We start from the raw sequence: 17,869 nt of genomic DNA, 5'->3' as shown, positions 1-17,869 counted from the left end.
GGCGCGGGGCAGCGAGATCCGCGGGGGGTCGGGCTCCTGGTAGGGTCGCGCCGCCGGCCGCTCCGGGCCCGCAGTGGCGCTCCACGAGCCTCAGCCGAGCGCGGCGGCAGCGGAACGTGCTGGAAGCCGGGTCGGGCGCCGGAGCCGCCGCGAGCCGGGCAGAGCGCGGAGGACCGGTCCGCGCGCCCGGGGACAATTACCTTCTTTGAGGAACTGCGCGTGGATCACTAGGACGAGGAAGCAGCAGAGCGCGGCCCCTGCCAGTGCCCAGAGCGCCTTCAGGAGCTGCATCGCGGAGTCCCAACTCGGCCGACGCCCCCGAAGTCGCGCAGCGAAGGTCCAGGCGCCGCATCAGCGCCCCGCCGGGTGCAGCCTCCGCGGCCGCCCGCTCGCGCCCTCCATCCGCCGCCAACGCCGCGCTCCGCCGCGACTGGAGGCGCCACTCCGGGAGGCGATTTGTGTCTTTCTGGGCAGGGGGGAGGGGAGCGGGCGGGGGGAGGGGGGCGCCGCGGAGGGGGCGGGCGGGGGCGGGGAGGTTAGCAGAAAGTCTCGGGCCGCGGCGGCCGCCGCTCCGACCACTCGGCCACCATCGCTGGCTGCGGGGCGCCGGGGGGCGGCCGCCGCGGCCCCATGAATCAGCCCCGCCGCCGCCCCCGGAGCCGCACCGCCAGCAGGGCCCGGACGGCGGGCCGCGGATTGCGCAACGGCCGGGCGGCGCGGGGGGGGGGGGGGTCCGGCGCGGCCCCGGCCCCCTCCTCCGCCTGTCGGCCCCCACCGCCCGCTGCTCGGCGTCGCCTTCCTCCTCCTCCTCTTCCTCCGCCGCCGCCGCCTCCTCCGCCGCCCGCGCTCGCTCCGGCCCGGGGCTCAGGGGGCCGCCGCGCCGCCGCCGCCACCGCCGCCGCGGCGGGCCAGGCTCGGGGCCGGGGCTGCGCGCCGGGCGCGGGGCTGCCGCACCATCGCCGCCGCCGGGGTCCGCGCGGCCCGGCCGAGCCCGCGGCGATCGAACTTGCGCGGCCCGGGGCTGGCGGGCCGGTCCCCACCGGACGGTGCCGGCCTCTGCGCTCCCAGCAGCCCGCGCCTCCGCCGCCGCGGCCGGGACTAGGTCCGGGCCCACCGCGCCCCTGGGCTGCCCACGCTGGGCCGCCGCTGCCGGTGTCGGTGCCGGTGCCGGTGGCTGCCGCGCCTACAGGTGGGGCCGGCGACGCTGCGCGCCTCGCCGCCCGCGGGACGCCGCTGCTCCGGCCTGGAGGCGCGCGCCCGCCCGCTCGGCTCGGCGCCGGCTCCTCGGGGGAGGCGGCGGGAGGGGGAGCGCGGCGCAGTCGCTGCCGGCCCAGGTGGCCGGGCCCGCGCAGCCTCGGACTCCGGCCCGCGCCCGCCGCCGTCTGCGCTCCTCCCGGCCGCGGAGCCGCGGATGCGCACTGGGCCGCGAGGGACCCCGGGGACCCCGCCCTGCAGCGCCCCCGCCTGGCGCGCCGGCGGGTCAGGTGGGGCCGGCCCAGCCGAAAACTGCGGGTCGGGCTCCACCTAGGTGCGCAGGGGCCTCACTGCAGAGCCGGCCCTGCTGGCGCGGGAGACCGGACGCGGGGCCTCGAGTGGCGCCCAGCCTCCCTCGCACCCAAGGCCCCAGGAGAGACAGGGAAACCCCAGGCCCAGGTACCGCCCCAGCCGGGCCCGACCAGCGGCTGGGAGGGCTCGGAGGAGGCTGGTCCCGCGGCTTCTGAAAACGGCACATCTGCCTGGAAACACACACAAACACACTCACACCTGCCCCTACTGTGTACCACCCTCCAGCCAGCTGCCCTGCACCCAAGAGCGTGGGCGCACTGTTAATGCCCACGTTCCGTTCCAGAGGAAACAAACGGATGCCTCCCTGCACTGCCTCCCTTCCCGCCTCTAGGAAGAAAGGGTCTTTGTTTTAGGCCACTTTTGCTCCCCAACCCCGCTCCCCAGAGCAGGGGGCACAGGTGTCCTCGTCAGGGGTTCGCCCCAGAGCCCAGTACCAAGACCAGTGTGGTGGGCCTCAAGGTATTTTTGCCTGAATTGAATTTGAAATTCAATTTCAAATGACCAGAAAAGAGCAGTGGGCAGGAATCGGGGCCTAAGCTTCCTGGGACCCTGAACCTCTCTCCTGACCTGTGCAGGGTGGGGGCAGTGCTGGTGCCCGCGGTGCATGTGGTTCACATGAAGGCTGTCTCCTCCTTGCACCAGTATTGACGTGCCAGGAAGGGAAAGAGGCCTGGCCCTGAAGGGCTCTTGGAGGTCAGATAGATCAAGGCAATCAGTATGCATCTGGGGAAACTGAGGCTTATAGAGGCATGGTGACTGGTCTAACATCAACTAAAAAGTCAAGGGCAGAGTCAGGACCAGCCACTAAGCTTGATGCTGTCTGCCTGACCTGGCTCGCGGTGCCCAGCAGCCGGCCAGGGGAGAGGCCATCCACGAAGCAGTTCTTCACCTCTGGCTCATCACCCTCCACCTGCCCCCGAAAACATCCAGGAGAGACAAGAATGTCCCATCCAACTCCTCTCACCTAAAGGAGTGGCCCCAGCCTCACACCAGCCAAGCAACTAAGCAGCTGTGGATCTGCCCTGGGAGGGACTAGCCATTCTCTCTGCTCAGGCAATCCCCTTCAAAACCCCATTTCCTATAAGCACCCCACTGTTTCCTGCTCTCCACCCCTAGACATTCTCTAGGAAAGATCTAAGGTAGCAGCTCCTCAGGAACCCACCCTGCCTGGCTCGCAGAGCCTGACCTCCAGCAAGGTCGTTGGCCTTCATCCCTCACCTGGCACAGGGCTCCCCAGTCAGAGGACTCGGGGGTCTTCTGGGTGCTTATCACATGTGCTCACCCCTGGCCCCCAAAGGGACCTCAATCAGGAGAGAGAGCCTGCCCTTGACACTCACTGTGTCCCCAATCAGGTGCATATCATTTGAAATTCTGAAAATAGAAAAGTGTGCTACGTTCACCAAGGGAATATTTAAGAACTACAATTGGAAGATCCTTCTGTAAAGAGAATTAAAGAGGATAAAGGAGAAAAAAAAGAAAGTTCATAAATAGAGGCAGGCCCACCAATTCACTTTCAACAGGTGGGACAGGAGGACCTCCATACCTAATGTTGGGGGACCACCATCACACTTCTCCGGGCACCAAGGCTTCCTGTTAGTAAATGCATGTGGCATTGCTTACACTTTTAAAAGCAATCACAGCTGCAAACTCAAGAACCTCGTGTAGGGCTTCCGAAGAGTGAGTTAACAGTGCAGACCAAAGAGGCCCTGGGTGCCATTGGGAAGTCAGCTCCAGATGGCAGTGTGAACACCTGAACCAGATAAAACCAACACACATCTCAGGAGGAGACACCTAGGGTTCTCATTGACATGACAGGAAAAACCCTTTACAAATACTGAAACCATTACTGTGTTGGGAATCAAAATGCTAATCAAAATCTAAGCAAGCCAGAAAGGGTGAGGGGGTCCTGGGCCCAGTCTCTGGACAGAAGAGAAAAAACTGTGGTGGGAACCAACAGAAGGATGCCCACATCCTCCCGAGAAGGTGAAACAAACCAGGGGCATGGCCAGGTGTCCAGGCAGGAGGGCACTTGGCCAAAGAGCTGCACTTCCACAGTGCCGGGTGGGTGTGTCTTCCCCCAAACCCCTGCAAACTGCTGCTTTAAGGCTAGTGTAGCTCAGACCAGGGCCAGAGGAAAGCTGTCCACAGAGGGGGTGCCTTCTGCCCGGGGACAGTCCCCACAGTGCCTGAGGTGTGGGACTTTGGATGGAGAAAGTGAGCATTTAACATGTCTCTAAACGAAATTTAACACTGCCTTCAGTTAGGCATGTAGGCAGTAAACACAATACTTCAGCCATAACTATGACTTTGTCACCAACAAAAAGCACAGGTATTTTCATATCACATTACAGCTCTTGTAGCTATCTCAGTCTATTGCTTATTTTCACCATTACTTCAAATTATGGTCGTCCCACTACTAGACTTTGTATGTAATGTGTTCATAAAGAAAACACATTACTGTATCAAAAATAGGCTTTTTACCATTTGCTAACTGCATGTGGATATAATTGATCTTCTTCATCAGGTATTTTTAGTTTGTCCTGAGATGGGTGGCACAGGCTTCACCAGACTTCCAAACAGGCCCATGGCACACAAAAAAAGCCAGGAACCTGCTTCTGGAGTGAAAAACTCAAGGTCTAAGAAAAAACCAGGGCAGAGCAGAGTTAAGGACTTTGGTCACTCATGAGAAGCAGGGTCAGCAGGTCCAAAGGTAGCACAATTCCTCCCAAGAGTGAAATGCACAAAAACACCTGTCCCTAGGGTCAAGCCGCCAGCACCAGCAAATGTGGGGACCCTGTTTGCCCATCGGCTGCATGCCCACTTCCAGGGTGGCCCATCTGTCTACACACCTTGCTCATTCCCAGGGAATACAGTAAGTGCTCATGGTCAAGTGAGAAGCCTGTTGGGCTACACAGGGTAGAGGTGATTCACACTGACCGGTCACTACACACACTTCAACCTTTATTCCTATACAGACAGGACCTAGCAGGCAGAGATCACTAGGTGTTTGCAGAAAGCTAGAGGCATGAAAGAGAAGTCAGGCTCAGCTGTGCATACTCTACACTTGAACCTTAGGGGACAGAAATAATTCAGGGAAAATAATCATAACCGTAATTGTGATTATTCTAAATAGTATCATTCTCAAAAAATTTGAAATAATATGGTATCAATAAGAGAAAACCAGGCTCCCAAGGGGGAGAAAAGGCAAACAAGAGAACAAGGAAAAAAACTCCTGGAAATTAATGTGAGTGGACCATTTTAAGGTCTAGGGTATACACTGAATGGTAAAATGGGAATGAATGAAGACTGGGCTGTGGAAAGTAAAATCAAATATGTTTATAAGAGTGGAGAGCACATAGAAAGGTGAAAAAGTATGGAAAATTTGAGACCTAGAGGGTATATCCTAAACATTAAACATCCAACTTTCATTTATTAGAAGTTCTAAAGGAGAATAAAAGGCAACAAAGAGGAGGAAATAGTCAAATAAATAAATGCACATCTTCAGATTGTAGAGACTTACCATATTCTGATTAGATCTAATGGACAGACCCCTAGATCCAACCAATGCAAGAAAACCTTGCAGAATTTTTTTTTAAAGCAAAAAAAAAAAAAAAAAAAAAAAAAAAAAAAACAGGCCAGGCACAGTGGCTCATGCCTGTAATCCCAGCACTTTGGGAGGCCAAGGCAGGCAGATCACGAGGTCAGGAGATTGAGACCATCCTGGCCAACATGGTGAAACCCCATCTCTACTAAAAATACAAAAATTAGCTGGGCGTGGTAGTGGGTGCCTGTAATCCCAGGTACTCCAGATGCTGAGGCAGGAGAATCACTTGAACCCAGGAGGCAGAGGTTGCAGTGAGCCGAGATTGTTCTACTGCACTCCAGCCTGGCAACAGAGCGAGACTTTGTCTCAAAAAAAAAAAAAAAAAAAAAAGCAAACAACAACAACAAAAAAATGTTCTGAGGAAAGAAATGAGCTGATACTGAATTTTGCTTTAGAAACACTGGCTTCTCAAAGACAGTGGAGCAGTGACTTCAGATTCTGATGGGAAAAGATAGAAGACCTAGAATTTTATACCCAGCTAAACAGTCAACGATGCATACCATTTGAGGGGATTCAGAAGTTCAGTTTACTAGTCCCATCCCTTATAGAAAAAGCTGATCTAGGTTACACTCCACCAGAGAAAGGAATCAAGGGAATGTACTTGGAGATATGGGATAAAGGAAAATTTAGCACATTTGACTCTCTAGAAGTAGAAAAACTGTGAAGAATAGGTATGAAGATACATTAGGCCTTCATACTTGAAAGAATCTCCAACAGGTAAAATCTTTACAATGGTATATCTCTTTCTCCATAGTTCTAGTCAGAAATCTTCTTTCTGCTATAAACATTTATGGGATAGTACTATAAATGTCCTTTAATTCCATTCAAATTTTAAAACCAACATGTACACAAATTAATAGTAGAAAGCGAAATGTAAATTCTCAAACCCTGACCATTAAATACATAATAGAGGAATGAAAAGAGGAAGGCAGTGTTTTAATGGAGAAAGTAGGCCCTCCGTGTTTTTCACTGTTCAAAATGGAAAGTGACGAGGTCCTGACCAGAGGTGATGAATTAAGAAGTAAAATTTGAGTGTGCACTGCTGACATCACGCATGTTGAAACTAAAAATGTATTCGTGATCAGGGCCAGGCTGGGTAAGAAAGAAGCTATTAACCATTTTGTCCCTGGGGAAAGGCCTGGATGCCAGGAAGAAGGAGGTGAAATCCTGCTTCTCATTTGGAACTTTCCTTTGTCATTGTAATTTGTTTTTTACCATATGCGTCATGTATATTCTGCGATTTGAGATACCCTTGTCTCATAAAAACAATGTAGATAAATTGTGTTACATTCATATAATGTAATGCTTTGTACTCTGAGGAAAAGGAAGAAGTGGTATATGTATAGGCAAAGATAAAGGCAGCCTCAGCCATGTTTTCAGCGGGCATGATCATACCTGTGCCTCTAACAATCACAGACCACGAGGCAGGGAGGAGGTCATGATGTTGGCCTTGACCAATAGGCAGAATCCATCCAGTGTGGACCGGAAGGCAGGGCAGATGCAGCATGGGAGGGCCCTGCCAGGGGAGTGTGGGGAGCAGAGGAGTGAGGCTGAGCCAGAAAGAGGGGTGATCTGCACGTGAGCATGTCGGCCAGGAAGAGCACAGCCTCAGGGAGGCCTCTGGCACCGCGGCTATGTGTGCGGGGGCACTGGCGGCCAGGACATTGGGGTAAATCCAGCATGGCCCATGAGGGCCCAAAGAAGTCCCCAGAAGGACTAGAGCATGACAGGCCATAGTTCCTGCCTCTTTCTGGGCCTGGGAAACAGTGAGAGGGCACGCCAGCCGCATGCTGGGGACAGGCCTGGAAGGCAGCCATGGGCCTCACCAGTACCCGGAACCCAAGCAAGGCCTGCGGGAGGCCACCCCCCGGGATGCACGTGGGTCAGGTCAGCATGCACTTCCATGACCACTTGACGAGCCCGGCCCCCGTGTCAGCCAGGATCAGCAATGCAACGACAGCAGACTGGGCCCATGGCAACGCACAGTGGCTTCCACGGGCACCATGCACACAGCCAAGGTCGGGAGCGCTGAGGTTGCTCTGGTGAGGAGGGACCATGGTGCTCACAGGAATGCTATGCACCCCGTGGGCCTTGATTGTAGCGGCCACACTCCCCATGTCCTTGGCAGCCTCCAAGTCCACTATCAGACCAGCCATCCCAGAGGTCACAAAACAGCAAGGCGCCCAGACCCCCCGGAGACACCCCAAACACACGGTTTATTGAATCGATGCCAAGCACATGGTGAGAAGCAAAGGGTCATTTCAAATGTCGGGGCCGGGCCAGGTTTTTCAGTTTCCAGAAACTTCCATGACTGCACCCACCTCACACTCCTCTAGAGCTTTAGTCTGAGTATCCACGGCCCGTGGCCCTGCATCCATCGTCCTCCCCGGAGATTGCCCTCTTCTGAGTAACTGCGGCCACCTGCAGTACTTGGCACACCCCAGGCAGCTGTCCCCATCCCACAGAGGCCAAAACCAGGCACCAGAGAGGGGAGGCGGCTGTGTAGGAGGCCACGGCCAGTGAGGGTTCCTGTGGTTCGCCTGAACCAGTCTGCTCACAGCCCGGCCCTGCCCCTCCTTCAGAGCTGGCTGTGGGTTCAGGATGGAGGGTGCCTGATAGCCCTGGCCGTGAGCACAAGAGGATGCTCTGCCCTCGTCTGCCCTCATCCCTGGCCGTGAGCACAAAAGGATGCTCTGTCCTCATCTGCCCTCGTCCCCCACCCCAGCCCCAGAGGCTGTGCTCAGCACTGCTGGACAGTGGAAGGAGATCTAGAGAAGGGCAATGGGGAGAAGGGAGCCTGGGCTGGCAGTCCAGGCTCATGGGGCAGCATGGGGCAAAAAGCAATGGGCTTCGTGGGGGGAGGACCACTGGTCACAGCTCCAGCCACCGTTGTGACCAGACCGCTGGCCAGTCATTAGTCTCCCTGTGCCCCGAGTCCTCACTGACGCCCACTGCAAGGATTACAGCAAATGCAGGCAGAGAACACTGCACACGGTTGGTCTCAATCAATGTTTTCTTTCCTCCTTTTCCTCCTGCATGTGTGGAAGAGGCCATATCTTGTCCCCAAGGAGACCTCTGGGACACACTGTTGTGGGGATCTCCGAGAGATGTCCCAGCCAGCCCTTGTCTGGAGTCACTCCCAGAAGAGAATCTTCATCTGAGCTCAAGTTTTGATTCTGCACCAAGGGTAGATGCCCCAGCAGGGCTGGCTCTGACCTCTCCTCAGTGCTTCATACCCAGGCTGAGTGAGTTGCACATCCTCTCTCTGGAGCAGACGAGACGTGAGCAGAGCAGGTGATAGAAGAGATAGAAAACCAGAAGAGGAAAGGCCACCAGTTTCCAGAGGAAAAAAGAGAAGATGGAGGCGCAGGCCAGGGCAGGGGGAAGGTGCTGCTTTCTCTCGCTGACCAGCTGGGCCTTGGGATGGCTGAGGCCGCAGTCTGGGCAGGCCCTGTGGGCTCAGTCACACGGGCGAAGACAGACTGCCTGCTGGCCCAGGGTTTGGCTGTTTTACTCGCATTTATTTTGTGACCTGCTTTGGCGTACCCAGAAAATAGAGGTCGTGAACTCACTGTCCCCTAGATGGGACTGAAGCTCCCCAGCTGGCACAGACGCTGCCCACGGTGGATCCATGCTCTTCACTGGTCTCACCTCCCAGCTCTAGGACTGCAGGCCACTCCAGTGCAGCCAAACCTCTGCCCGTTCCCAGGCCTGCCCAGCACCTTGCATGGGCTGAGCCTCAGCCAGGGATGCCCTTCTTGACCATCATCCTGTGAGACCTCATTCCCCAGGCCACCCTGCAGACAGCGGTGTCACACCTGTTCCTGCAGCCCCAGCCACCCCTTCCACAGCCCAGGGTACCCAGAACTAAGAGCTGCTCTTAGTTCCCGAGCTCACCCGGAGGAGCTTGGAGGATATGTGACCAGCTGGTGAGTTCTGAGTGAATGTGGACAGGAGGAGGGGGCTGGGAGGGGACCTTTGGAGGAGCAGGCCTGTCCCCCCTCTCCTCAGGCCACCTGCCCACGCTGGCCAGCCCTGCCAGCCATGCCCACCAATCCCCGCCCACAGCAACCGCAGGGACTCTTATCTCCAGACCCGCACCCACGATCACCCTGCTCTCCTTTTTGAAATTCTTATCTTTTCTCTGCACACATTAACTCACACTTTCGCTGGGCTTAATAGATCCCATTCACTCAAAGTGGGGATTGTCCTTTTAAAGCATTTCCTAATAAGGCTGGGAGGAAAGCACTCAGCCTGGGGCGGGAGCCTGCTACCCGCAGTCCTCGGAAACAGATGGGCACACACGAGGGCCCTCCCAGCAGCCTTCCGGAGGCCAGGCGGGCAGCACACAGCGGGATGCTCTCCCCAAGTGAGGGCTCCGCCTGCCCCTCAGGGAAGCAAACACATTTTTGTGTGTGTGTTTTTGTTTAAAAACAATCATTTCCTGTTCAACTATCCTAAGGAAAATGAAAGCGAATTCAAGATGTTCCCACCCGAAATCTGGAAGTTCTATTCTTCAGAAAATGCCCCGAAGCAGCACCTGCCCGTGTGGAGAAAGGCCCCTCCACAAGTGGAACAGCGAAACCTGGAGACAACGCAAGTGCCCTTCCGCAGGGAAAGGGGAATCCAGTGCGGCCAGTCCGCAGGCAGCAGTGCTGCGGAGCAAAGGAGAAAGGACAAACCCAACCCACTGACGGCCCCAGGCGTAAATCATGAAACCACAGTGGTGAGCAAACTACGGCAAAAAAGCTGCAGAACCACAAGGGCTGCATGGACCCAGGGCTTTGAAAAATGCTTCCAAGGAGGACACAGGCAAAAGGAGGAGAGCATGATCAGGGGCTGGGTTCTCTACAGGCCACACCCTTTACACACCTCACCCCGTTTAGTTCTCACAACCTTCTTAGGCAAAGATTCCACCCCACCCCCCAACGTATTGCTGAGGAAACTAAGGCTGAGGCAGCTCAGCAACCTGCCTATGGCAGCAGAAGGAGAGGTTGGGCTAAAGCTAGGTGTACCCGGGCAGCCCCTGCTACCTCCCTAAAGAGGCCAAACATCCTCATAGGCCCCTTCATCTTTCCACTCACCCATTTGTCCATCTGTACATCATCCATCCATCTGTCATCCACCCATCCAACATCCATCCCTCCATCAATCAATCATTCATCACCCATCTACCATTCATCATCCATCCACCTACCATCTACCCATCATTCACCATCCACCCATCCATCCACCATCCGTCCACCCATCACCATCCATTCATCATCCACCCATCGTCCATCCATCCATCTATCCATCATCCATCCATCTTTCATCCACCCATCATACATTCATCACCCATCATCCATCTACCTACCATCCACCCATCATCCATCTACCTACCATCCACCCATCATCCACCATCCACCCATCCATCCACCATCCATCCACCCATCACCATCCATTCATTGTCCACCCATCATCCATTCATCATCCATCCATCCATCATCTATCTATCCATATCCACCTATCATTCATCCATCATCCATCCATCCATCCATCATCCATCCATCATCAGCTCATCATCTATCCGTCATCCATCTAGCCACAATCCATCCATCATACATCCATCTGTCCATCCATCCATCCACCCATCCACCCAGCTGCACATCTATTCATCATCCATCATCCATCTACTCATCTACCTATCAATTCATCTATCTATCTATCATCCATCCATCCATTTGTCTACCATCAGTCCATCCATCCGTCCACCCATCCCTGGTTTTGGTCTAGGCAAGGAACAATCAGGAGAGAATAAAACCCAGACCTGCCATCTCAAGCCACTGCTCCAAGGCAATTCTAGTCCCATAAGGCAAGCTCCATGGCTGAAGCCAGCATGTGTGTTCCTGAGAGCTGAGCACAGGGCTGCGGTGGGTGCAAGTCCCGGGAAATCCTCTCAGCAGTGAGGCAGAGCTCTAACGTGGTAGGTGGATGTCCAGAACCTAAGACCTGAGAATGACAGTTTCTCTGTGGATGCCCTAAAAGCCTTCAATGGATGGGGGAAAACATCAGATTCTGCCCAAGGCTGGCACCAGCCAGGCAGGTTGAGCTAAGCAGAGTTGAAAAGAGTTAGGTATTGGTGGCCCTGGTGCACTGAATATTTATGTACACATTGCTGGGAACAGAGCATCATGCATTTGCAAAACTAAAACAGGAGCATCACCCCACAGCCACTTCTAGGACTTTGCTGTCCATTAAGCCAGAGGGCCTGGATCTGGGACATTTACATTCCCACTCCTCTACCCACCGCTAGGAGGGCCACTTCCCATCCCCTGCAGCCAGCGCCTGAGGAGTGCCCCGCCTACTGTGCCTTCTCAGGGTCTACACCCCACCCAGCACTTGGCCGTGACAGTGGGGTTCTTGCCTGTTCCCTGGGCCTGCCTCAAGCCGGAGCCCACATGCCCTCACATGGCAGGGAGTCCGCTCCCGCCTGCCGTGACCATGGCCAGTCTCCTCCAGGGAAGCTCCTCTCAGCCCCACCACGGCCATGAGGTTCCCCAGCCCCCACCTTACCATGGGATGAGAAGGCAGAGTGCAGAGCACAGACAGCAGGTGTGGGGCCGTGCATTTTAATTCCCTTCTAACCCCTCATGGATGGAGATGCCAGCTTACAACTCTCCCAGCTGCAGCTTCTGCACCTCCTCTTTTTTGCAGGGCCACTGGGGGGCGGGTGTCTCAGACTGTGCGTGGCACCGAAGGCACCCACCATGGGGTAGCTGTCCTGCTTCCATGCTGGTTATAGTCAGCTGAGCCTCGCTGCAAAAGTTGATGGAACCCCCAGGACATTCCCTCAGTGGCTCCCAAGGACCAGCACACAAGTGCCAGGCCTGGAAGCTTTCTCCAACCGCTGGAGCCCACTCTGTCCAACTGAGAAGGAGGCTGCAGTCCCTGGGACCAATGAGGAGTGGCCCTCAACTAAGGCCTGCAGAGCTGGGCCCATAGATGCTCCAACCCCTCACCCTTGGGAAGAAGACTCGGAGCCCCAGCCCATGGTGTGTACCTTTTTCAGAGCTCCCAGTGGGCTGACTGGCCATCCAGAAGGACAATGACCAGACCACATGTGACAGCAGAATTCCAGCCCACTGTCCTGCAGCTGCAAGCTTGGAAGCCAACCCACAGCCTCTGCAGCCTTCAGGCCCAAAAGGTCAGCACTTGGTCAGTAACCACCAGCTTCCTTCATTTTGTGTCCCTTCGTCCCAACTCAGGACCAACCAGAGAAAACCCAACGTGCCCTGAAGCCCCCTTAGGTAGCTGCTCTGGCTTGCCCAGGCCTAGGCCTCCCATCCGCGCAACCTGGAGCGTCCCTGTTCCGCCACAAGCTTCCTGCCATCCTCAGGCTGCGGGCGCTGAGTAACGGCCTTTGCTCATTCTCATTGGTTGTCTTCCTCCGTTTTCACAGTGGTCATGTGTCCAGCTGCCCACAGCGTGACCAGGGGATGAGCCGCCTTTGTGGACCGCACTCCCCGCCCGCTCCACGTCCTCACTTCCTGCACACATCATGTGCACGCCAGGCCTCGGCTTAGGGTCTGCTTTTGGGGGACCCCACGCTGAGGAACCCTTGGCTGTACAATGCACTCTTTGTACAGAGAACAGCTGCTCCTTCTACAGCATCGTCGGTTTCAGGAAGGACAAGGATGCCCGGCTCCAGGAAAACCTGGGCCCAGTGAGGAACCTGGTAGGACCTGGAGGCGGGCTGGGCCAGGCAGGCCAGTGAGGGAGTGGCCTTTACTTATAGTAGGGTGGAGTCGACGCTGCCACCTGGCGTGGGTCCTTGGGGTCTTGACCTTTGTCAGGAAGCTGGTGTCCTCCCAGGAGCCCGAGCTCCCGATACCCTGCTCAGCTCGCTGGTAGCAGAACAGGCACCGTGACCATTGCTGCTCAGAGGGAGGAGGCCATGCCCCAGCCTGTTGGGGTGCAGAGGAGTCCGAGGGGCAGAGAGCCCAGCAGCGCTGAGCTCCAGGACCCATGCCTGCCCGGCAGCAGCAAGAGCCCCTTCTCAGATGGCAGATGCAGGCACCCTCTGGGAGCCAGGCCCCTCTTCCCATATAGAGACAAGAGGAGCCCCACACGCCACCCGCCTTCAGACACTCAGATATGCGGCCAACACCAGCCCCACCTGTGCCCAGAGGAGTTCAGGGCCCAGCCTCCACACTGCCGGTGAGTGAGGCCAGACAGACCACCGGAAGCTGGGAGAAACGGCCCCCGTGGTCCCCACTGGAGGACAGCTCTAGAGGAGTGTGGGGTGGGTACAGTCATGGAAGTCTCTGGAAACCGACATAAGCGCCCACGGTGGTCCCCGCTGGAGAATAAACAGGAAGAGCACCCGGGACGAGGGGCCACTTGTCTGCAGGGCTCTTGGAGGGGATGAGGGGGCCACTTGTCCACAGGGCTCTTGGGGGCCACGCAAAGACCTGGCCAAGTACCTGAGGAGGGGCGGCCGGCACTGTTTGCTAAATGTCAGAGAAATGGTGGAAGGTCAAGGGCCGAGGCTCTTGAAGGTCAGTTGCGGCTGTGCAGGAGCAAGCGGGCGGCTCGGTCCAGCCCAGCTCTGGTGTGGGAGATGCCAAGGCACCAGCCTGCAGCTCCGCCAGGGCCTCCAGTGCCATCACCCCCCAGGGCCTCCGCACAGACGGGCATCCCGGGGTCCCGGGGCTGTGAGAGGAAAGAGGGTCTCCGAGCTGTCAAGTGGGGCCCCGTGTGGTTTGGGGGAGTTTTCCAAAGTTCACGAGTGAGTCCTCTCTCACTGTGGGGGTGGAGTTCTCATGAGAAGCCGTGTCAGGGGCTCAGGCCTGACCCGCCCTGACCCACCATTAACCAGAGACTGGGCGTGGGGGCCTGGCTGTCCCATCTGCCAGTCAATGATGGCCTAGGAGGGGTGGAAGGCAGCTTTTCCTGGCAGTGTCAGTGGAGTCCCGAGGGCCTTGGAGGCTGTGACCGGGCCCCGGGGGTCCCCACAGGAGCTAAATTCCCCCCCTCCCTCCCTAGATGCTCACCCTGGTGGGGAGGACTGGGCTTGCTGCTGATACGGGGCTGCCTCTCTGAGTCACAGGCCTTGTAAGGTCCACACTACTGTTCAGTGACCCTCCTGTGCCCCCTTCCCATTTTCTAGAAAGGCTCCGCGGGGCCGGGCGCGGTGGCTCACGCCTGTAATCCCAGCACTTTGGGAGGCCGAGGCAGGCAGATCGCGAGGTCAGGAGATCGAGACCATCCTGGCTAATGCGGTGAAACCCCGTCTCTACTAAAAATACAAAAAAATTAGCCGGGCATAGTGGCGGGCGCCTGTAGTCCCAGCTACTCAGGAGGCTGAGGCAGGAGAATGGCGTGAACCCGGGAGGCAGAGCTTGCAGTGAGCTGAGATGGCGCCACTGCACTCCAACCTGGGCGACAGAGCGAGACTCCATCTCAAAAAAGAAAAAAAGAAAAAAGAAAGGCTCTGGGGAAATGAGGGGGCTTAGGATAAGGAGGGCAGCAGAGATGGCTGCAAATCAGTGCTTACCCTGCGCCAGGACCTAGTCCACACCACCGCCTGCCAGGCTGTTCCTACTATGAATCCCTAAGAAAGGGACCCTGAGGCAGAGAGCACTCAGGGAGCCTGAGGCCGGGCAGGGTGACCAGTGGCCATGAGCCGAGCCACCGCCCACGGTCCCAGTCCCAGGACAGAAAGGACTCTGATCCCGCGTCACTGTGCAGAATGTGTGTGGCCCCGGACTGGTCCCCACGCAGCCGTGCTGAGCCTCGGAAACACAAACTTCTAAATAAGGTCAAAGCCCAGGTCAGTGACTCAACGTCTGCTCCCAGCACCAGAAATGGTTTATTGATTTTTCGACACCTGGGGGAGCATTGTTTGTGCCAGTGGCCCATGACCCCCAATGGGCATCGCGGATCTCCAGTGGGGTTGGGGGGTCCAAGGCTTGAGGCGTTGCCGTGGCCACCGTCATCATCACAAAGCCAAGCATTCCAGCCCTGCCAACCCAGAAGCCACTGTTAGGAGCGGATACAAACAGGGGTGGCAAACATTTCAAACCGTGGAGAGGTGTGGCCTCCACAGAGAGGTCAGGCTCCAGAAGTGTGGGTGATTTTTCATCCACGAAACGAGGCTGGAAACACAGCCCCTGCTGAGGACACCATGTGCCTTCCTCCCCAGAGGCCAGCAGCCCCAGCACACCCTGGAACAGCCTTGTCATCTACGGAGCAGTCTGAGGAATTCACAAACCTGCAAAGGGGCCCCAGAAACATTGCAGCCAGGGGACTCGGCTATCCCTGCGGACGGGAGAGGCTCTGGGTTCTGTCCTTCAAGCAGAAAGGACTTTCCTTGGGCTGGTGATAGAGGTACCAGCAAAGGGTCCCAGAGCCACAGAGCAGAGTGGATCCGAGATGTGGGATGTCATCAGCCCAGCTGCTCCCTGGGCCCTGAGGCCTTTCTGTCCTTATGATCACACACGCCTTCCCAGGGTGGGATGCATCACCTCCCATCCACAGTCCCCACCCACCTCCCAGCTTGAAGAGCAGAGCCTGCCACAGCCAGACCCAGACAAATCCCAGTGTCACCCACACAGGGAACCGCTCCATCCCCAGGTGTAGAGGACTGCACAGGATGAGAACTGCTCACACACAGGAGCCAAACAAAAGCCACTTTAAAGACAACTGTGAGGCCAGGCGTGGTGGCTCACACCTGTAATCCCAGAACTTTGGGAGGCCGAGGTGGGTGGATCACCTGAGGTCAGGAGTTCAAGACCAGTCTGGCCAACACGGTGAAACCCCATCTCTACTAAAAACACAAAAAATTATCCAGGCGTGGTGTTGAGCACCTGTAATCCCAGCTACTCAGGAAGCTGAGGCGGGAGAATTGCTTGAACCCGGGAGGCAGAGGATGCAGTGAGCCGAATAGCACCACTGCACTCCCGCCTGGGCAACAAGAGCGAAACTCCATCTCAAAAATAAATAAATAAATAATTAATAATAATAATATAATAATAATAATAATAATAATAAAATACAACGTTTTTCATGGCCCAGTGTGGGTGTCAGGACCCAGGTGCCTTCTGCAGCATGAAAGCACCTCACATTAGTTCACACTGGGGGCGCCTGCTGGCACTGTCCTTGCCCGGGCTGGCCCCAGGCCCTGATGGCCTACCTGCACCCTTGGTGCTCCTGGCATCCCACGTGTGGTCTCCAGGGATTGGAGGCCGAGAATGGAAATGCTGGGGGGCCTGCTGGGGCCATATGAATGCCAGGGCCACACCAGTGCAGTGGCCACACCAATGCCGGGGTGCACCAATGCCGGGAGCCTGACGGCACCAGCCTGGGCGCACGACAGGGACAGACGCCTCAGCCACATCACACCCCCGCCCAGAAACTGACAGGCTCCCGTTAGAGAAACGGTCCCCTGCTGAGAGCAGTGACGCTCCTCCCCTACAAGGACTCGGCTTTCCCATGGGACGGCACGTGGAGGTCCCCAAATCCTATGCTGCGAAGGCATCGGTGGCCAGGGCAGCTGCCTGATGGAGGATGGCCGGCGTGTGCATAGAAAGAAGACCCTGCAGTCACTCCTGCCCAGACCCTCACACCCACGGGGGTCTGGACCCCTGCATTCTGGCCTCAGGTCCTCCCGTGCCAGGCTGAGATAGAAACGTCTCTACCACGGCCCCCGCAAAGATTCAGTGCACGGCGACCGCATCTCTGGCGATGGTTGTAATGAGGATGAAGACCCGGGCCTGTGGCGCTGCCCCTGCATCCCTTCCTCCATCCCCGCCGCGCTCCGCCTCTGGGTTTGTCCCCTCTGCTCCCCAAAGGCAGGCCCCGCCGCCCCTCCTGCCTGGCTCGGGCTGTGCCCTCATCCCACACGCCCCTTCCTGGCTTCCTTCCTCCTCCTCAAGGCTCAGCCAAACCCCATATCCCCTCTAGGTCTCGCTGATTCTCCCACTTTCAAGGCTTGACTGCCCCAGAAAAGCCCTCTCGGTGACGGCTGCAGTGACAGGGAGAAGCCTTGGGGACGTGGAGACCAGGGGGGAAGGGGCCCACCTTCCTCCATCAGCCATGTCGCCTCTCAGAGCAGAGCTCCAGGACCACCAGGGTCAGAGGAGGGGTTGTGGGGCAGGGGACCCCGCAGTGTGGGTTGTCAGGTTACCCGGCTCATCTCAGGGAGGGGCTCTAGCTGGGACCTCAGTGCCTGCTCCCGAGAGCAAGGCCACCTCCAGACTAGAAAGAGCACAGAGCAGTGATGGCTGAGGGCTCAGAGTCAGAGCCATCCCTCCACCATGGGGCCCACTTCCCAAGCAGCCCCGACCGCCATGGGTCCCAAAATCTGCTGCGGGGCAGCCCAGTGGCCCAGGAGGAGCGTCCACCGCTGGTGTCAGCTCCAGCTGCCACCACAAAACACCATGGCCCCGGGCGGCCTCAACAAGGTCAAGGGCAGCCCAACTGGGTTCCTGGTATGGGCTCCCTCCTTGGGCCCCTCGGCACTGTGTCCCTCATGTAGCAGTGAGAGGGAGGGGGCACCTCCCTCACGCCTCTTTCCTAAGGGCCTGACCCCAGTATAAGGGCCCCTGTATGACCTTGTCACCTCCAAATGCCATCGCCCTGGGCCTAGGCCATTTGAATGTGGGGGACACAGTTCAGGCCTGGCACCTGCTTATTGTGAATTTCCCGCCATGCTCC

At 57.1% G+C, this 17,869-nt stretch overlaps 1 protein-coding gene across 2 annotated transcripts in view, besides 2 other annotated features; it reads right to left on the bottom strand.

Moving 5' to 3' along the window:
* TAFA5 (TAFA chemokine like family member 5) overlaps window positions 1-17,869 on the bottom strand; it is a 262,380-nt gene that overhangs the window by 175,161 nt on the left and 69,350 nt on the right. The window contains exon 1 of one of the 2 annotated variants that reach the window (NM_015381.7): window positions 201-432. The exons of the other annotated variant lie outside the window; for it this stretch is intronic. Within the exon in view, the coding sequence (NP_056196.2) occupies window positions 201-291 (91 nt within the window). The 5' untranslated portion in view covers window positions 292-432. Of the gene's footprint in view, window positions 1-200; window positions 433-17,869 lie in introns of those variants that run through there. 2 annotated transcript variants of the gene reach the window in all.
* Window positions 15,427-16,315: an enhancer, noted in NCBI's record as "H3K27ac-H3K4me1 hESC enhancer chr22:48956269-48957157 (GRCh37/hg19 assembly coordinates)". NCBI's record gives its function as "activates a minimal SCP1, AML or CMV promoter by ChIP-STARR-seq in primed H9 embryonic stem cells {active_cell/tissue: H9 hESC(primed)}" and the evidence as "EXISTENCE:reporter gene assay evidence [ECO:0000049][PMID:30033119]".
* Window positions 16,316-17,204: an enhancer, noted in NCBI's record as "H3K27ac-H3K4me1 hESC enhancer chr22:48955380-48956268 (GRCh37/hg19 assembly coordinates)". NCBI's record gives its function as "activates a minimal SCP1, AML or CMV promoter by ChIP-STARR-seq in primed H9 embryonic stem cells {active_cell/tissue: H9 hESC(primed)}" and the evidence as "EXISTENCE:reporter gene assay evidence [ECO:0000049][PMID:30033119]".

This window comes from Homo sapiens, chromosome 22, assembly GCF_000001405.40.
Source record: "Homo sapiens chromosome 22, GRCh38.p14 Primary Assembly".
In the NCBI taxonomy this organism is placed as follows: domain Eukaryota; kingdom Metazoa; phylum Chordata; class Mammalia; order Primates; family Hominidae; genus Homo; species Homo sapiens.
This window is presented reverse-complemented; position numbering and strand designations above follow the sequence as displayed.